Below are 20303 nucleotides of genomic sequence, written 5' to 3'. Positions count from 1 at the left end.
CCCAGCACTTTGGGTGGCCAAGGTAGGCAGATCACTTGAGGTCAGGAGTTCAAGACCAGCCTGGCCAACATGGTGAAACCCCATCTCTACTAAAAATACAAAAATTAGCCAGGTGTGGTGGCACAAGACTGTAGTCCCAGCTACTCAAGAGGCTGAGGCAGGAGGATCACTTGAACCCAGGAGGCGAAGGCTGCAGTGATCCGAGATCACACCACTGCGTACTCTAGCCTGGGACGCCATGAGAGTTTTTATTAAAAAAGGAAAGAAGAGAGAGAAGAGAAGAGAAGATCAGTTCCTGAAAGCAAGAAAAGGAGGCCCGTGAAGGAGGTGAAGCTCATGGTCTAGCCTTCTATAGTTCACAAAAACTCTTAAGATGTAGGCTTCCTTCTCTAGTTGCCTCTGCCCCAGGGGGCTCCTTGAGAAGAACACTGTGCTTTGGGGGAGCAGCAGACAAGCCCCCCTGAGGTCATCTGGCTTAGAAACAAACCTGGGATGGGTGTTTCCTGTTGGATTGGAGAACTGACTGAGCTGCAGTTACAGTGGAGTTGCCCCAGTGGGCATCTGGCCTTCACAGTTAGCACCATGATGATGCTGTGATTTCTGCTTTGCTGTGGCTCTGTTTCTCTGGAAGCGGAATCATCACCATGATTTAACCTTTAGCCCAGCTCAGCGCACTAGACTGTGGCTCAGACCAAAACTTCCTTTCAGATTTTCTCTCTCTCATTTGCTATATTCTACCCATTCCAGCTTTTTTCTCCCTCTCAAACACATACGAAGCTTGTGTCTGTCTATGAGACTTTGCATTTACCATTCTGTCTCCCTGGTCTTCCCCAGCCTGCCTCCTCGTTCTCATTCAGGCCTCAGCTCAATGTGTACCTTCTCCCAGATGGCTTCCTTGACCATGCTTGTGAAAGTGACATGCCACCCCGGAGTCATTTTCTATCCCATTATTAGTCTGTGTTTTCTTCTTAGCACTGTCATTTTCTGAAATTATCTGATTTATTTAGGTACCCATATACTCTCTGGCTCCCTAACCAGAACATAAACTCCATGAGAACAGCAACAGAGCCTTTCTGTTCTCTGCTAAGAGCTGAGAATAGTGCTGGCACATACAGGGGATCCATCCAAGGATCACAGGCAGAGCCGTCCTTGCTTTTCCTCATTTGGCTTTAGAGTTTTTCTCCTAAGTGGTATACAGATATTGGCTTGGCAGGGAACAGAGCCAGGCAGCCAGTCCTGCATGCAGACCAGGGTTCCCGCCTAATTTAGCAGCTTCACAAGGGGTGTGGCCTGGGCTCCAGGGATCTGAGCTGGACCCAGTAGACAGAAGTTCACAGAGATGGGCTTTAGTGTAATAGCAAAAGGACTTGAGAACAGAGCTGACAGGAGACAGAATGGGAACGCCGATGCTTAACTGCACCAGTTCCATGCCCATCCATCCCCCTGTGGTCCACTCGCCACCCTCTGCTTCTGTGCAGCCTGCCCACACACCTGCAAGCTCACTGAGCTCATTGGTCACTGGAACTGCTTCCCAGCACAGAGGGTGGGGATTCGGCATCACTGGGGGAACTAAATTGGATGGTCTCTGTGGGCCATTTCATCTCCTATTTCAGGGGCTTGGCTGAGAGCAGTTTATTTCTAATCCTGAGGACTGCAGGGCCTCCAGGGAGGAGAGGGTGACAGACTGGGTTAAGCTGTTAATGGTGCTCTGGGGTTAAAGCTCAATGACCCACAGTGCCAGTGCACTGATTAGTGACCACATCCGCCCACCTGCTGTTTGCTTAGCAGGGAGAGCTGCTCTTCTGAATCAGGAATGCAGCACCAAGAAGAAATATGCATTCCAGGCCTGGTTCTGCTGCCAAGTTATCATGTGAGCTTGAATGAGTCCTTTCCTGCTCTGAGCCTTGGTGTGTCTTCCTGGAAGAATGTTTGGATTAGACCTAGATGCTTTTTTTTTTTTTTTTTTTAGATGGAGTTTCGCTCTTGTTGCCCAGGCTGGAGTGCAATGGCACGATCTTGGCTCACTGCAACCTCTGCCTCCTGGGTTCAAGCGATTCTGCTGCCTCAGCCTTCCAAGTAGCTGGGATTACAGGCATGTGCCACCACGCCCAGCTAATTTTGTATTTTTAGTAGAGATGGGGTTTCTCCATGTTGGTCAGGCTGGTCTCGAACTCCTGACCTCAGGTGATCTGCCCGCCTTGGCCTCCCAATGTGCTGGGATTACAGGCGTGAGCCACCATGCGTGGCCTGACCTAGGTGCTTTTTAAGGCCATCTCTTCTAACTCTAACGTTCTAGGATTAACTGGTGAACCTCACACATGAAAAAAGTTCCATCCATGGCAAGAGCTCATGCCCAGGCTCCAATTCTTCAGCAGATCCTCTTTCTTAGCTGACAGCCTGGAATGGAACCAAGACCCCTGACCTCTGTCATCGGCAGCTCAAGTCTTCTCGGAGAGTCTGTGTTTATTCACAGCTCTGGCTGGGCAGCTGAAAAAAGTATGTGATCTGTCAGTGGACAGATCCTGAGCTGTCCATCAGGAGGGAGATGAGCTAAGTCTAGAAGCCACCTGGGGGCTGTCCCACCAGCGCCCCCAACAGGTCTACTCATCCAAAGGGCAGGAAAGGGACTTTGTGCCTCTGCCTTTGATGGTGTAAGGACTCCTTGGGCAACATTTATGCCAAGACCTCGCTGTATTTGGCAGCCTTAGGGAAGCCTCCCTGTGGTCTTAAACCTGGAGCAGGAAGGAAGTGTAATGACAAGAAGCCTTTTCGTGAGGCCCATGACTATTTCATGATGTGATAGTTTCACTGCTGATAGTTTCACTGCACTTTCCTGAAACTCAACTCATCTTTGGCACAGCCATGTAGGAAGATCAGGGAAGCCTGACACTGCATTCTGGGGCCATTCTTTGTCCTGAGCCAGCAATTTCTTTTTCATTCTGTAGGGTTCTTGTAGGAATGAAAGATTCAGAAAGCCCAATAGTTGAGTAAACATTTCTCAAGCATCTTCTCTGAGCTAACCCCAACTTGGGAACTGGGGATTAAAAATGAATTTATTAACTTTTTAATGTTCTGTGCAACATATACACCTACACAGACACAGGGCATAGATTCTCTATTCATAGATGAATAGGCTTTTCACAAAGCATAAATCTTTTAGATCACTGCTAAATGGACTGATACACTGGCTTTAAGGGAATATACTTCTCATGTTTGAAAAAAATATTTTTAAAAAGTCAGACATAGTCCCTGCTCTCAAGCAGTTTGGGTAAAATCCTTTCATCCCTTTGAGCTTCAGTTCTGCAAAATGGGACTGTTGATCCCATCAAGGGCTGCTAGATTTAATGGATCAAATCACAAGATGCCTAGTTAAATTTGAATTTTAAATTTAACTGGACATCTTGCATTTTATCTGGTAATCCTAGCCCTGCCCAAACTAGGACTTTTATAAGGTACAGAAGGAATAATATGTGAATTAATAATGTACAACAGTGCTTTACAGTTTACGGAGTTCTGTGTCAGCGAGAAGGGTTTGGATTGAATGACTTTGATGTAAGGGGATCTCTTGCAGGCTTATGATTGTATTCTCATGATGAAGATCCTGAGACATGAGGAGAAAGACTCAATGCTGCATCCCTTGAGAACACTTTTAATTCCAGGACAGTGAATACAAAACCCTCAATGGCAAAAGATGGAGCCTGGAGCAGCGCATGTGAGAAAGCCCTGGGGTTTTTGGCTCACAGAAAAATCAAAACGGGACCCCTTAGGATGTAAACTCCATCTGCGTCTTCTGGCCACATCCTGGAAAGGATGGTATCCAGAATGCTGTCATTACTCAGACTCCCACTGGAACATTAAAAGGGACAGGAATGGGCCTGGTTCAAGGAGCTTGAAACCAGTGAGTGTCCTGGCAGGGACAGGAGTGATGAGAAGCGTCTGAACTGGAGATCTGTGGACTCAGGGGACATAAGCCATGGGCTTCCCATCCAGCATGGGTCCTGCTTTCTGGAAGGTGCCACTGCCATCCGAGGTTGCCAGCAAGCCTTTGTTTTGGTAAAGGGCCCCAAGGTGACATTCTTTTTCGGTCACTGTCCAGCTCGGAGAAGTGGAACACCAACAGTAGCAGCGATTGTTCAAAATGTGAAGGCTGAAAAAGGCCTTAGAATCCCCACTCTTTTATTTGTTAATTGATTATCTTACAGGTGTGAGCCACCTGTAATCACAGCACTTTGAGAGGCCAAGGCAGTCAGATCACATGAGGTCAGGAGTTCAAGACCAGCCTGGCCAACATGGCAAAACCCCATCTCTACTAAAAACAATACAAAAATTAGCTGGTCATGGTAGCATGTGCCTGTAGTCCCAGCTACTCAGGAGGCTGAGGCAGGAGATTTGCTTGAACCCGGGAGGCAGAGGTTGCAGTGGGCCGTGATCGCACCACCGCACTCCAGCCTGGGTGACAGAGTGAGACTCCGTCTGGAAAAAAAAAAATCCCCACTCTTTCCTCCTTCTATCTTAGCAATGGGGAAACTAAAGACAGGGTGGGGAGGTAACCCACCCAAGACCACATAATAAGTTAGGTGCAGAGCTGGGACCAGAGCCCACATCTGCTGCTTCCCAACTCAGGGTCAGATTCACGTCAGCCCATCCTTTCCCGAGATTCCCTCTGTCTGGGCAGGCCCTCCAAGCAGCCACTTTTTTCCAAGGCCAATAACCCAGAGATACTGCTGAGAAGCCTTCATTTTTCACAGGGAGGAAAGGCAGTTATTTATTATAATAGTAGTGATGATAATCTGCTTGGGGACAGCACTTTATAGTTTGCAAAATACTTTCATGTCATTTACGTGACCTCCCATCAGTTCCTACCTTCCTACACCTTATACCTCCTGCACCTGTTGTCCGCCCCTAAATGTGCGGTGACGTCCCACAGTGAGGCAGTTTCTTGCGGTGTTTGGAGCATAGTTTCCAGCGCCAAAATGCATGCGATTAAAGCCTGGCTCTGTCATTATGAGTGTGATCTGGGGCAAGTTATGTAACTGAGGTTAACTGTGCCTCTGCTTCTTCGTCTGTAAAGTGGGGATGATGGTAATAGGATCTACTTTATAGGATTCTTATGTGAGAATTAAATGATTCATTTATGCTTACAACAGTACCTAGCACATTGTGAGGCCTTAACAAATATCAGCTGCTATTACTACTACTACTACTACTACGATTGTTATTATTTCAGAGCTCTGTTCTATAACCCCAGAGCCCTTCTGCTATTCCTGTTGCTCCTTCAAGGCTTAGCTCAAACTCCCCTCCCCTAGGAAGACTTTTCTTTGATTCTTTCCCCTCAGCAGAGTTCGATGTTCTTTAATATTTACTGCACTTACTTAAATGCATTATATTTGCCTATTTTCTGGTCCATTTCCCTGACAAAGCTGTGATCTTCATCTCCATCTTTATCCCCAACACCATGCCTAGAGACAGGCAGGTATATGTGCTTAATTGATGTTTGTTGAATGCATGAGTGAGTGAGTGATCCTGTGGATTCCAAAATCTAGGAGTAACTTTTTATTTCTGTCTTTCCTTCACCCCACACCAATCCAACAGCAAGTCTTGACAATTCCACTTCTAAAACAGATTCTGAATCTGCCTCTAAGCCAGTCCAGGCCACCATCTTCTCACGCCTGGACAACTCAGCCTTCTGGCTGCTATCTGTGCTTCTGTCCCTGCTGCTCTATAATCTGCCCTCATCTCCCTGCTTAAAACGCTCCCTGACTTCTCTTTGCTCCTAGAATGAAGCCCAGTCTTCTTCCCTGGCTACAGAGTCCTGCCCTCTAGCTTGTACCACTCTCTCCTTCACTTAATATGCTTCACCCATTCTGGTTTCCTTTCTGTTTCTTTCCAACTTCAAAGTCTTGCACTTGCTGTTCCTTCCAGTGTTGGTAGAGTTGACTCCTTTTGCTTTCAGGTTGAATGTCACATCTCAGCAAGGCTTTCCTTCATCACTCTAAGGGGATATTATTCTGTGTCACAGCACCATTTTTATCTCCCTCGTAGCACTTGCTTAATCTGTAAATATCTTGATTATTTACCCATTTATTTGTTAATTGATTATCTTACTATATTGTATGCACCTTTTTTGTTGTCTTGTACACTAGGGTATCTCTATATCAGTGTTTAACACATTTCTGCTGAATGAATGAATGAATGATTCCTCCTAGCAACACAATAGGTAGACCAGGTATTGTATGCTTATTTTACAGCTGACAAAACTGAAGGTTAAAATAGGTGATTCTTGCTCTAAGTAACATAGGCTGGAAGTAGAGCAGCCAGGTATGCTAGATCATGGACTTTTCCCATTAGACCATTTTGCCTTGAAGGGAGATGGATGGAGGGCTGGGAACCCATCTTGGCTGATTCATAGATAGTTCCCCAACATGGGACCGGATGACAGAGATAACAAGTTCCTGCCTCTTAAAGAGGTCATGCTGCCAGTATGTGACAGTTCCAAATTCCAGACTGCACCTGACACATTGCACACACCCAATAAACACTCCATAATCATAAGAAAAGTTCAGTGGCTGTTTGAGAAAGGAAATCACACCCATGGGCCTGACAGGAGGACTGATCTACTAGGACCCTCTGCAGAGGCTGTTCTAATCTGGGCCTGATGAAATGGGAAAGATGTTTCTAATTCCTTTACACAAATGTGACCTAATTTGGAAGATTTTGTAATTCCTAAGGTCCCAACTGCTGCCTGAGAGCAGATCCTGATTATTATCATTTTATTATTATTATTATTATTATTATTATTATTATTATTATTAGAGACGGAGTCTCGCTCTGTCATCCAGGCTGGAGTGCAATGGCATGATCTCGGCTCACTGCAACCTCCGCCTCCTGGGTTCAAATGATTCTTCTGCCTCAGCCTCCTGAGTAGCTGGGATTACAGGCACCTGCCATCATGCCTGGCTAATTTTTGTAGAGATGGGGTTTCACCATGTTGGCCAGGCTGGTCTTGAACTCCTGACCTCAGATGATCCGCCCGCCTCAGTATTGTCATTATTTAAAATCTTGCCATGGCCATTGATAAGAAGCTGGCAGCAGGGTGCCATTTCTGTGATTCTAGGAGGGAAATTCCTGGAGAGGGAGCCTGGGGACATAAAGAGAGCCTTGAACCAGAGTCAGAAGGTGGGAAGGTCCATCGGTGTCCAGCCAGTAGCCTCTAGGCCTCTCACTGGCCCTTAGCTGCCTCCTTTGTACTGACTGATTTGGGTCTGATGGTGGCCTGGGAGTCAGAGGGTTTGAATATGACCCTGGCTCTTGACAGTGTGGGATCTTATCAAGATGCTTTACTTCTGTGGTTCTTGGTTAATTATCTGTACAAGGACATGTTTGAAGGGACTGATGCCAAGTCCCCTTCCAGCTGTGATAGTTGCCATTTTTGTGGTCTTTTCAGGGAAACAGTTGCTCTTCTAGAAGTGGATTTCCTTATTATCGAGCCCCCAGAAGCCAGCAAGAAATCAACATGCCTACCTCAAATAGTTCAACAAAGGGCATCATAGTCCTAAAGGCCTAAGGATTTCTCAGAAGGAGTCAAGTACTCATTCCTGCCAAGTACTCTCTCAGTCCTAGAAGCTACCCTCTGACAGGCACACACTCCAGCAAAGGAGGCTCTTCAAAAGGGCTGAGGCCATGGAAATCAGAGAGTATGACTCTTCTGAAAATCTAGAAGTTCTGGGCATTGAACACAAGGACATTGTACCCTCCTGACCTTGACTGACTATGTGAGAAGGCAAGGTATAGGAAAATCAGACATGTACCAAGGTCTTTTGAGTGTTCATTATGGGGCAGACTTTGGCTCAATGCTTTATATTCATTTGACTTTGAGGCCTATGAGATAAATTTTATGATCCCCATTTTACAGAGGAGGAAATTGAGACACAGAGCTAAAGTGACTTGTCCAAGATTATACAGCTAGAAAGACCAGATTTGAACCCGGCATTCTTTACTGCTAAACTACTGTCTCCTCTAATAACGACAGCAATAAAAAATACTCAAAGTTGAGGAACTATAGTAGGCAGTTGTGGAAATCTGGACCTGAGGTCTAAACAAATGACTACAAGTTCTATGCTTTCGTTTGTTAGCGTGGCGATCTCGGACAAGTCATTTGACTACTTTGAGTGACAACATACTGGCTTGCAAAGTGGGGGTAATCACTCTTTCTACTTCACAGATAAGGCTAAAAAGATTAAAAGGGGAATGCACAGTGGTTCAAGCCTGAAATCCCAACACTTTGGGAGGCTGAGGGGAAGATTGCTTGAGACCAGGAGTTGAAGACCAGCCTGGGCAACATAGCAAGACCCCAACTCTACAAAAAAATTTTAAAAGGTAATGTGCACCTGTAGTCCCAGCTACTCGGGAGTTTGAGGCAGGAGGATCACTTAAGCCTAGGAGTTTGAGGCTGCAGTGAGCTATGATTATGTCACTGCAATTAAGCTTGGGTGACAGAGCAAGTCCCTGTTTTTGTTTTGTTTTGTGTTTGCTTTTTAATTAAGAGGCACAATGTATGTGAAGTGTTTAGAATTGATTCCTGACACATAATAAGTATTCAGTAAATGTTAAGTCTCCATCATTGTTGTTATTGTTGTTGTTACTATCAACGTCTTTCCTCCAGAGTTGTTGCCAAGTTCACATGAGATGATGCCTGGGAAAGCTCTGTGCTGTGCACCTGTCAGTAATCCCCTTTATTACAATGATAGCAACCTAAGGGATAGAGTTATTTGTGAAGGTCTAACCCTATTCCTCCCCCAAATGGTTCAAATTCTTTGTATTGCAGCCAACACTGATGACGAGTGAGGGTTTGACTTGGTGCCCACTGTGAATGACGTCCTTCAGTAGATCTCCAAGAACTGCAGCAAATGCTTTTCTGGGCTTATTTTAGCATCAGAGGGCCTTTGAAGCAGGATTTCAACATTTAGCTTCATTGTTTGGGGATGGTGCCTTGCATTTAATGTAGGTTTACAACTTGAGCCTTCCTTCCTCTCATCATCTTGAGATACCATGAAGGCAGGTCAGGGATGTGGTTGGCAGAGACATATCTTCAGATTCAAATGAATTCTGTTGTTGATTGTTATTGATTTTGAGAGTAATAAGTGCTCACTATTAAAAAAACTGGAAAATGTAGAAAACTATGAAGGAGAAAAAAGTTAAATATCCATAATGCAGTCACTCAGAAAAAAAGAATGTTAACATTTTGGTGTATTTCCTTTTGGTATTTTATTCTCTGCACATATTATCATTTACACAATTTGGGAATCATGGCATAAATAGTTATATTAATGATTTTTTCCACAATTTTATAAGAATTTCCTTCATAAGTATCTTTTTTTTTTTTTTTTTTTTTTTTTTTTGAGACAGGGTCTCACTCTGTCACCCAGGCTGGAGTGCAGTGGCACCATCTCCACTCACTGCAACCTCCACCTCCCGGGTTTAAGTGATTCTTCCACCTCAGCCTCTAGAGTAGCTCAAACTACAGGTGCAACGACGATGCCAGGCAAATTTTTCTGTATTTTTGGTAGAGATGGGGTTTCACCATTTTGCCAGGCTGGTCTCGAACTCCTGAGCTCAAGCAATCCACCCGCCTGGGCCTCCCAAAGTGTCAGGATTATAGGCATGAGCCACTGTGCTTGAGTATCATCTTTTTTTTTTTTTTTTTTTTTCAGGCACCAAGATTTTTATTTACCCACCTTCCTGCTTTCTTTTAACATTAAAACCATATTATTCTCTTTTTGAACCAGGGTTGTGATAGGAACCATCTTGTTACAAAGTAGTAGCAGATCTATGCTTGCTTTTATGTTTTTATAGCCCCTCTGGCTGTCACTTCTCTGTCCTTTCTCAGTTATCCCTTTACAGTCTATTCTGACCCCTGTAAAACAGGGACTAAAAGTACCAACCTCATTGTTATGAGGTTTAAGAGAAGGCCCAGCCCTAAGCCAGGCTCTCAGGAAAATTCAAACAACAGTTCCTCTTTGCCTTTCAATATAGCTCCTTCTCATCTGTCATGGGCTGGGGAACCACTGAACCTGTAAACCACGGGTATAAGTCCACAGACCAGGAACACGGTATAAGTCCACAGACCAGGAACCTTACCTGAATGGTAAGGTACATGGGCTTTGTGACTCCACTACCAACTTCCAAACTAAGGAAGGACTGACTGGGCGCCAGTGGCTCATGCCTGTAATCCCAGCACTTTGGGAGGCCGAGGCATGAGGGCAAGAGATCGAGACCATCCTGGCCCACATGGTGAAACCCCGTCTCTACCAAAAATACCAAAAAAAAAAAAAAAAAAAAGGAAGGACTGACTTAGTGAGCAGTTCCAAGACCACTCAACTCATGGTTCCTTGTGGATGCCTCCCTTGTACCTCCATCATGACCAGGGCTTGAGGAGGGGCCTCTCAATTTCCCCGCCACACTTGATATAGTGTTAGGGATGCAGCAGAGGCCAAAAACTGAGTGACCAGCCCCATCGATGGGGGACACTAACCAACCAATCACAAAGTTGGTGCCATTTGCTCTTAGGGAGAAGAGGCGGGGCCTGAGCAAGGACAGCAGCTGGAAAGTGAAGGGCAGGCCTGACTCTCAGCAGCAGTAGTGATCCGGCTTGAAGGGGCCATCACGGGACGTGCTCAGCTACTGGGCTTGCTTCTCAGTTAGCTTGGTCAATTTCACGTTCATCTTGCCCAGGGGGGCGCCTCAGCCACTGCCTCATCCAGCTTCTTGGGCAGGAAGTGAACCCCAATGGGGTACTTGTCTGGGTGGGTCCACAGCGCAATCTGCACCATCACCTGGTTGAAGGAGTTACTCCCCACAAAGCTGGGGCGGCCCATAGCACAGCCCAGGTTGACCAGCCAACCCTCAGCCAGCACGATGATGTGGCACCCATTCTTCAGCCAGTACCAGTCCGCCTGGGCTTGATGTTTGCCTTCTCCACAGCATTGTTGTTGAGGCACCTGACATCGATCTCCACGTCAAATTGTTCAGTATTACATAAGATGGCATCATCCTTCATCTGCTCAAAGTGCCGGCCAAGGATGATATTGACACAGGTTGTGGTGGTGACAAAGATGTTGCCCTCCTGACAGGCCTCGTCCATGGTGGTCACCTCATAGCCTTCCATGGCAGCCTGCAGTGCACTGATGGGGTCAGTCTCGGTGATGATTATGCAGGCCCCAAAACCCTGCAAGGCCTGGGCACAGCCCTTGCCCACACCACCATAGCCTGCTACCACTGCTACCTTGCTGGCAATCATCACGTCTTGGTCCACTTGGTGCCATCTATAAGGGACTCCTGGCAGCCATAGAGGTTGTCAAATTTTGCTCTTGGTGACGGAGTCATTGACGTTGATGGTAGGCACCTTCAGGATTGCACTGGCCATCATCTTGTGTAGGTTGTGGACCCCGGTTTTGGTCTCCTCAGAGATGCCTCAGATGCCCGACATGAGCTGTGGGTACGTACTTGGTGTGGATGAGGTTGGTAAGGTCACCCCCATCATCCAGAATCATGTTGAGGGGCCCGTCCTTGAAGTACAGTGTCTGTTCAATGCACCACGGGTACCCCTCTTTCATTTTGCCCTTCCAGGTGAACACTGGCATGCCAGCCTCGGCAAAGACAGCCACTGCATGTTCCTGGGTGGAGAAGATGCTGCAGCTAGACCACTGCTCCTGAACACCCAGGGAGAAAAGGGTCTCAATGAGGATGGCCGTCTCCACAGTTATTTGCAGGCAGTCAGCAATGCAGGCACCCTTCAGTGGCCTGGAGGCCGAGTAAAGCTCCTGCATGCCCATCAAACCCGGCATCCATTCTCCACAATGTCTAGGGCCTTGTGTCCCCAGGTGGCCAGGCCGATGTCAGCAACTTTGTAGGGCAGTTTGTCAGACATGCTGGCGGCACCTTTGATGGACAAGGGCAAAGGGGGCTGGGCCATAGTCTGGGGACAGGCACTGGGTGGGCAGTGTTGGGCAGGCAGTGCTAGGCAGGTGAGTATCATTTTTTATAGATGTATAGTGTTTCTACATAGAAACATCATACAGCACAAAGTACTCAACTAATCCTTTGTTAACTGTTTAGATTTTTCTAATTTTTGTAATTATATAACACTCTGGTGAACATTTTTGTACATACATATTTACATCTGATTATTTATTTCCTTTGGATAGATTCTTTTTTTTTTCTCTTTTTGGGACAGGGTCTTACTCTGTTGCCCAGGCTGGAGTACAGTGGCATGATCATGGCTCACTGCAGCCTCGACTTCCCAAGCTCAGGTGATCTCCCACCTCAGCCTCCCAGGTAGCTGGGACTACAGCTGCATACCACCATGCTAATTTTTAGTAATTTTTTTTTTTTTTTTAGTAGAGACGGGGTTTCACCATGTTGCCCAGGCTGGTCTTGAACTCCTGGGCTCAAGTGATCTGCCCACCTAAGCCTCCCAAAGTGTTGGGATCACAGGCATGATCTCCTGTGCCTGGCCTTTGGCTAGATTATTAAAAGTAGAAATAATGAGCCGGGTGCAGTGGCTCACGCCTGTAATCCCAGCACTTTGGGAGCCCGAGGCAGGCAGATCACCTGAGGTCGGGAATTCGAGACCAGCCTGACCAACATGGAGAAACCCCATCTCTACTAAAAATACCAAATTTGCTGGGCATGGTGGCACATGCCTGTAATCTCAGCTAATTGAGAGGCTGAGGCAGGAGAATCGCTTGAACCCGGGAGGTAGAGAGTGCGGTGAGCCAAGATCATGCCATTGCCCTCCAGCCTGGGCAAAAAGAGTGAGACTCCGTCTCAAAAAAAAAAAAAAAAAGTGGAAATAATGGGTCAAAGAGTATAAACACTTTTAAGGCTTTCTGGAAAGGTTGTATCACTTTATATTTCTATCAACAGTGAGAGACCATAACAAGTATTACCAGTTTGTAAAAATTTTTGCCAAATCAATAGGTTAAAAAAATGGCAACTCCTTATCTCAACTTGCAATGCTTTAATTACTCAAGTTGCATATGCAGTATTTCATATTTTTTAGTCATTTGTATTCCTTTCTGTGGCTTGTCTGTTAGTGTCCTTTGCTGGGCCGACTTTGTGAACAGTGGCCCCAGTAATCCTACAGTTGTCTGCAGAAGATGCCAAACCTTGCATTTAGCCACATCTGATAGGAGGCCAGCCTCCAGCAGGATTAGAAATAGTCCATGTCAGCATTGCTGTTTCAATGAAACCAGAAAGGGGAAAGGTGTCTGTGTTTTATTGGAATCTGGGAGATGAAGTTATTTTGCTGAGCCCTATGTATCATATCATTATACCTTCTTTTCTCACTCCCAAAGCTTCTCTTTTCTTAAATGCTTTTCTAGCAGAAGGGTTAAATTTGGTGCATGTGTGTCCTTTCCTTCAGTATGTGTTCACTGACCTCCTAGTATGTGCAACACATAGCGGCCACATTAACGACTGTAGTGTATAGAGAAGAGCCTGGGCTTTTGAGTCACAAGGGCCTTGGGCAAGTCCCTTAAGCTCTTGGAGGCTCAGTTTCTTCTTCTTTGAAGTGCAGATGACAGCCCTGTCTTTGAGGAATAAACGTGTTCCGAATATAAAACTCCCGGAACAGCATCTGCCACATCATAAGACTTCACAGACAATTTTTTAAAAAAATTTTTTCAAGATGGAGTCTTGCTCTGTCGCCCAGGCTGGAGTGCAGTGGCACGATCTCGGCTCACTGCAACCTCTGCTTCCCAGGTTCAAGCAATTCTCCTGCCTCAGCCTCCCAAGTAGCTGGGATTACAGGCGTCCGCCACCACGCCTGGCTAACTTTTTTGTATTTTTAGTAGAAACGGGATTTCACCATGTTGGCCAGGCTAGTCTTGAATTCCTGACCTTGTGATCCACCCACCTCGGCCTCCCAAAGTGCTATGATTACAGGCATAAGCCACCGTGCCTGGCTCACAGACAATTCTTGAGCCATTTCTGTGTATTTGACACTGTGCTCGGTGCTGACTAATAAAGTGAGAAATCAGTTGGGGCCCTTTAGAGCACCTCATTTGCCTAGGAGAAAAGTCAGGCTGCACATTGGCTCCAACAAGGCCCACTCTGACCCCTGCTGTTCTGTGGTCCTTCCCTAAGCCTTTGGCTCCAGGTCTCATGGGCCTTAGCTACAGTTCTGGGGCAAATAGGAAAAGTGCCAGTCAATGTTCTGTTACACAGAGTGTCACAGCTATAATTTTTATTTTTTCTTTTCTTCTTACCATTATGAGGATTTTCCATTTATAGTTAAGGGTGTCAGTGGGAGCCAGCCAGCCTCAGTTTGATTTCTAGCTCTATTATTTACTAAGTGACCATGGGCAAGTTGCTTAACCTGTGACCTAGTTTCCTTAGCTGTAAAATGCAGATAATAATAGACTATAGACTGAATGTTTGTGTCCCCCTAAAATTCACACGTTGAAATCCTAACTCCCCATGTAAAAGTATTTGGAAGCGTTTGGGAGATGATTAGGTTATAAGGGCAGCGCCATCATGAATGGAATTAGTGTCCTTTTAAAGGACACCCAGGGAGCTCACTGAATCTGCTGGTGCCTTGATCTTGGACTTCCCAGGCACCAGAGCTGGGAGAGATATATTTTTTGTTGTCTACAAGCCACAATCTACAGTACTTTGTTGCAGCAGCCCAAATGGACTAAGACATAATAGTACCTATTTCCTGGGGTTTTTAGGATTAAACAAAACAATTCATATGTAGCTCTTGGTATAGTGTCTAGCATAGACTATGAGCTCAATTATTTACTATTAATATTTGCTATACTGTCTTCATAGCTACACTTACAATGACTTTCTAGGATTAAATTTAACAGGTATAATAATACCTTTCTTTGATGACAGATATGTAAGGTATTTCCAATTTTTAAACACAAACATAATTCCTAAGAAAGTCATCTTGTAGTTTAGAGATTAAGGAAGATTTAAGATTAAGGAAATTTAAAAATTAAATGTTGAATGGACATTAACACATTTAAATTACTGGTATCTTTCAAAAAAATTCAATATTTTCTATACATATGACAGGCTAATATCCCATCTTAAAAGCCCCGGCATGGATGATCCTTGCCTAAGGCAGAGAGCTGACCTGAATCACTCGACAAGGTCTCCTAGTCATTTGCTCTGTGGCTCTCCTGGCCAAGAAGCTGCATCAGCTTTTTTCCCCTTGCCAGAGAACCTCTGATACAGCAAAGCTCAGGGCCAACCCAGCATTTTTCAGATATCATTTGGAAATATCAGGTAGGGCAAGTGTCAGGCCATGTCACCTGATGGGGAACTTATGGGGCAGGGGTTTCTGCTCTGGTCCTTCAGCCAACAAGTCTCAAAGTTAGCAATGGTATAACAAAAATATGAACCTACACAGCTTGAGCACCGTCTGTGTGCTAGGCTCTGTAAAAACATTCTCCTCAATCCTAGTCAACAAATGAGAGACTATTTATTGGCCCCATTTAATAGATGAGAAAAGTGGCCTGGCGCGGCGGCTCATGTCTGTAATCCCAGCACTTTGGGAGGTCTAGGCCGGAGGATAACTTGAGCTCAGGAGTTCGAGACCAGCCTGGCCAACATGGTGAAACCCCGTCTGTACTAAAAATACAAGAATTAACTGGGCCTGGTGGCAAGTGCCTGTAATCCCGGCTACTCGGGAGGCTGAGGCAGGAGAATCGATTGAACCTGGGAGGCGGAGGTTGCAGTGAGCCAAGATCACCCCACTGCACTCCAGCCTGGGCGACAAGGGTGAAACACTGTCTCAAAAAAAAAAAAGTGGGGGGGAAAACTGAGGCTCAGAGAGGTGAAAGGTTTCCTCCAAGGTCACAGAGTTGGCAGTCATGACCCAAGTCTGTCTGACTCTAAAGACACAAGCTCCTCCCACAAGCACGACAAGACCTCAATTAATTCAATTTAACCAGCATGGGTTGGCACTTACATGTGTTGCCCCTGCTAGGTTCTCAGAACAGGGAGAACATCTGACGTAAGAGACAGACACATAAATAACAAGTTCTAGTATTAAGGCTGATGCATGCCTATGAGAAGTAATAAAGCCATGTGGGCAATACAATTTATCCTGTTGTATATATTTCTGAAAGCCATCCTTAATCCTTTTAGGAAGAGGCAACGGAGAGGTAGATTGGTAGATCAGGGCTGTAATCAATGCATAAACAAGGGGTGGTGGGGAAATGAGAAGGGAGAGATTAATTCCCACTCAAATCCAGGAATGTCTTTTAGAGAATGTGACATTTTGGTTGGGGTTTGAAGGGCCAGGGAGGGTCAGCAAGGGAATATGGGGGACTGGCATGACCTGTCCACCCTCCCAAAGCAAAGTAAAAATAGAACCTTGGTTAGTGCTTGCTAAATATTGGTCCTGAAGACAGAACACTCACATTCTCCCTCATTCCCGCTGTCTTATATACATAGACCTATCAAGACACACCCATAGATAACCACAAATGCAAAAACACAGAAAATACACAAAAACACACACCAGTACACATGCACAGATTATTAAGACACAATATATGAAAATAGATACTAGCTCCCATACTCATAAACTCACACAGATACATACAACACTCATACACACAGACTCACAAACATGTTTATGCATTCATACACAGCCTCCCCCACCCACTACTCATGCAGGAAAATAAATGCATGCTTTAATTAACATACACGGGTTCACACATAAATCTCATCCTGCTGGTCTGGTTGAAGACCAATGACTAATGGGAAACCATGCACAAAGCCAAACATCACGTAGGGGAGGCCGGGATTGGGTTAGCAGTGGGGCTTGAATTAAGCCCCATCAGATGACAAACCCGCCCTGCCTGGCTTCCTCTGGAAGCTGCTGAGCCGAAGCAGCAGCGCCTGACCTAGCTCTGGATCCTGGGCGGATGATGCGAGGCTGCGTGCCCGAATTCCAGCTTGATTCAGGGTTTAGTGTCATCCAGGGTCAAGCTCGGCTATTAGCCCCACCCCAACCCCTGCAACCAGCCGGAGGCTCTGGGGGCACTGAAGGGCTGTGGCCTGGGGCTGCTTTCTAATCCTGGGCTTGCCCTGGCGCAAATGCTGAGAATAGTTAGCATTAATGAGGGTTACAACAGTGGGCCAGGCTCTGGGCTAAGCCCTTTACGTCCATGACTTAATTCTCACAACAGCTCTGTGAGGGGGGTGGGGGGTGAGGGGTGTCCTATCATCTCCATTTTAGTGGTGAAAAAACCGCGCTCAGGCCACAAAACCATTCAGCAAAAGACATCAAGTTGAGGTTCAACCCTGTCTGATCCTATTCTTCCCGGGGTTTAGGTAAGTGTGCTTGCGAGCCTGTCTCCTCCACGCAGGAAGCTTGCACCTTCTGCCCTCAGGGGTCTCCACCGCCCGGTCCCGCCCCCTTGTCCAGTCTGGCACAACACCTGGCCCACAGCAGGTTTCTGGTGAGGGCGTGGGTCTCGGTTCAGGGAGGCCCTCAGCAAGGGCCTCAGCTTCCCCATCTCTGAAATGGGAATGGCGGCAGAGACCTCGCAAGGCTGCGACCAGGCTCTCTGGAGCAGCAGAGGGCATGCCAAGCTCTACATCGTCGCTGCCGCTGCCCTCTCCCATCGCGGGGTTCCCGCGCGGTCCCCGCCCGAGCTGGGGTGCGGCGCTGGCGCCCCATTGTTCAGGAGGGCGGGGATGCTCCCGAGTGCTGATTCCACCCCCCGCTCGTGCTCGCAGCCCGGTGGAGCAGATGACTAGGCCCGGCGTCTGCCGCGCGGGGCGCATCCTTTGTCTGCTCCGCGGCGCCCGGTGCCCGAGGCCCGCGCCCCACTCTTTGGGCAGACAAAGCCGGGGCCGCCGCGAGCCCGGCGGGCTAGAGCTGGGCTCGCACCACCCTTCTCCCGCCTCACGGACCGCCCCCTCTCCTGGACGTCCTCTGATTGGCCTACGGGGCTACAAAGAGGCCGGGAAGCGGGCGGATCACGTGGGCGACTGTGGCTTCCCATTGGTTAGGCGCGGCTGCCAATCGAGGAGGGCGGGCGGTCCGCGCTCGGTCCGGTCGCTCCCTCCGCGCTGGGGCCCGCCCGCGGGGCCGGCCGCCTGTCAGAGGGAGGTGGCGATGGTGCGCCCGGTGGCGGTGGCGGCGGCGGTTGCGGAGGCTTCCTTGGTCGGATTGCAACGAGGAGAAGATGACTGACCAACCGACTGGCTGAATGAATGAATGGCGGAGCCGAGCGCGCCATGAGGAGCCTGCCGAGCCTGGGCGGCCTCGCCCTGTTGTGCTGCGCCGCCGCCGCCGCCGCCGCCGCCGTCGCCTCAGCCGCCTCGGCGGGGAATGTCACCGGTGGCGGCGGGGCCGCGGGGCAGGTGGACGCGTCGCCGGGCCCCGGGTTGCGGGGCGAGCCCAGCCACCCCTTCCCTAGGGCGACGGCTCCCACGGCCCAGGCCCCGAGGACCGGGCCCCCGCGCGCCACCGTCCACCGACCCCTGGCTGCGACTTCTCCAGCCCAGTCCCCGGAGACCACCCCTCTTTGGGCGACTGCTGGACCCTCTTCCACCACCTTTCAGGCGCCGCTCGGCCCCTCGCCGACCACCCCTCCGGCGGCGGAACGCACTTCGACCACCTCTCAGGCGCCGACCAGACCCGCGCCGACCACCCTTTCGACGACCACTGGCCCGGCGCCGACCACCCCTGTAGCGACCACCGTACCGGCGCCCACGACTCCCCGGACCCCGACCCCCGATCTCCCCAGCAGCAGCAACAGCAGCGTCCTCCCCACCCCACCTGCCACCGAGGCCCCCTCTTCGCCTCCTCCAGGTGAGTCCGGCGCTCCCTCTCGGGCAGGACCCGTCCTCACCTCAGCCCCGGCAATCTAGGGTTGGGCTCTTGCCTATAATTTATCGTTTGTTACCCCAAAGACACCCCAGGTTCCGGCTCCCGAGGGGGGATCCCAGGTCCAGCTAGTCTCCCTCCCGCCCCCGATCAATCTGGAAAGTCTTTTGTCCCCCGTGGGCTGTGCTCCCTCGGGAGGGGGTGGCTGCTGGGTGGAAGGCATCTCATCTTCTTCCCAACAGGGCTTTCTGGCCTTTTTCAGAGACCAGAATGGGCGCAAACTTTTGGGTTGGGTTCGCGCACCCAGCCTCTCTGCCTGGGTTATTTGGGGAAGTTTGAAAGCCCGCATAGTACCTCCTTCAACCACTGGGTCAAAAGCTGAGGGTAAGGAATTCCTCCCAAAGCTCCAGTTTCCCTGTTCATTTCTTCTTGTTTATGTAAATATCAGATGTGTGTGTATGACAGGTGGAAGAGAGGTAGTGAGAGGATTTTGTTTACAAACAGTAGTATGGACCACTTGAGGGCAAAAAATAAAAACAAAAAAGGCATTGTAATCCATGTTGTCCCTGCAAATAAGTGGATTCAGTAGGTCATTTGGGACAGGTGTGTATCTAGGCTGAGCACATTTACAAATTAGGTTAAATCTCTTCCTCGCACCATTTTTTTCTTCCACAATTATAAGGTCAACATGTTTGGCCAAATACACCATTTAAGCAAGGATGCCTATTTTTGTCTCCTTAAGCCAGGATGTTCAACTTTGCTGATGCTGATATATGCCAATTTCTGTTTGAGCCCACGTAGAAAAGGCTTTTCTTGCTGAAGTCTTCAAGCAAAGTTAAAGACAACTCGTATTCTTTCCCCGTTTAAATCTTAAGTGGGCCTAGGACTAAAACAAAACAAAACAAAAGCCTACTTTGTCAGAACGTTTGGACAAAAGTTTCTGAATTGTCTTGCTTTGAGTTGGGGTGGAGGTTTGTCCAAATCCTTTGTCTAGCTGGGTCTCTGACCTAAATCTTAGGCTTAGTGATTTACTGTGGAGTCAGGTATGGACTTTGGACTATAATTGAGTGTGTAGAGAATTTTCCCACATGGTTATGAACCTTAATACAGTCTTGATCCTTGGGTTGGAGCTTGGCAATGACATAAGTAGGATTATTCACCCATAAAAAGCCAAGTGTGCATCTCTTCCAGCTTCAAGGAATGCATTAGCTAGCTGGGTTTTACCTGTAACCCCTTTTGGCTTTCATATAGAGAGATTGACATATTACTGAGAGACAGGAAGCATAGTGGTTGAGAGTATGGACTCTGGAGTTTATTCTTAGGTTTGAATCCTAGCTCTTCCCCTTGTTAGCTGTGTAAGCTTAGGCGGCTCACTGAAGCTCTTTGGACTCAGTTTCTTTGATTGTGAAATGAAGATAATATTATAGTAGTACTTAACTCATAAGGT

The 20303-nt window shown here is 47.7% G+C and overlaps 1 protein-coding gene and 1 pseudogene across 1 annotated transcript in view, besides 2 other annotated features; one reads left to right on the top strand and one right to left on the bottom strand.

The window, feature by feature from the left end:
• Positions 5950 to 6039: an enhancer, noted in NCBI's record as "active region_28893". NCBI's record gives its function as "activates an Ori minimal core promoter by ATAC-STARR-seq in GM12878 lymphoblastoid cells {active_cell/tissue: GM12878}" and the evidence as "EXISTENCE:reporter gene assay evidence [ECO:0000049][PMID:35858748]".
• AHCYP2 (adenosylhomocysteinase pseudogene 2) lies at positions 10619 to 12010 on the bottom strand (annotated as a pseudogene).
• Positions 17592 to 18441: a silencer, noted in NCBI's record as "silent region_20223". NCBI's record gives its function as "represses an Ori minimal core promoter by ATAC-STARR-seq in GM12878 lymphoblastoid cells {active_cell/tissue: GM12878}" and the evidence as "EXISTENCE:reporter gene assay evidence [ECO:0000049][PMID:35858748]".
• The window catches only part of MEGF9 (multiple EGF like domains 9), a 113660-nt gene continuing 111485 nt past the window's right edge, over positions 18129 to 20303 (top strand). Inside the window, exon 1 of the mRNA NM_001080497.3 lies at positions 18129 to 18841. Coding sequence (NP_001073966.2) covers positions 18241 to 18841 — 601 coding nt within the window. The 5' untranslated portion in view covers positions 18129 to 18240. The remainder of the gene's footprint in view (positions 18842 to 20303) is intronic.

This window comes from Homo sapiens, chromosome 9 (genome assembly GCF_000001405.40).
Source record: "Homo sapiens chromosome 9, GRCh38.p14 Primary Assembly".
NCBI lineage: Eukaryota > Metazoa > Chordata > Mammalia > Primates > Hominidae > Homo > Homo sapiens.
Note: the sequence above shows the minus strand (reverse complement) of the source record. Positions and strands in the feature narration are given on the sequence as shown.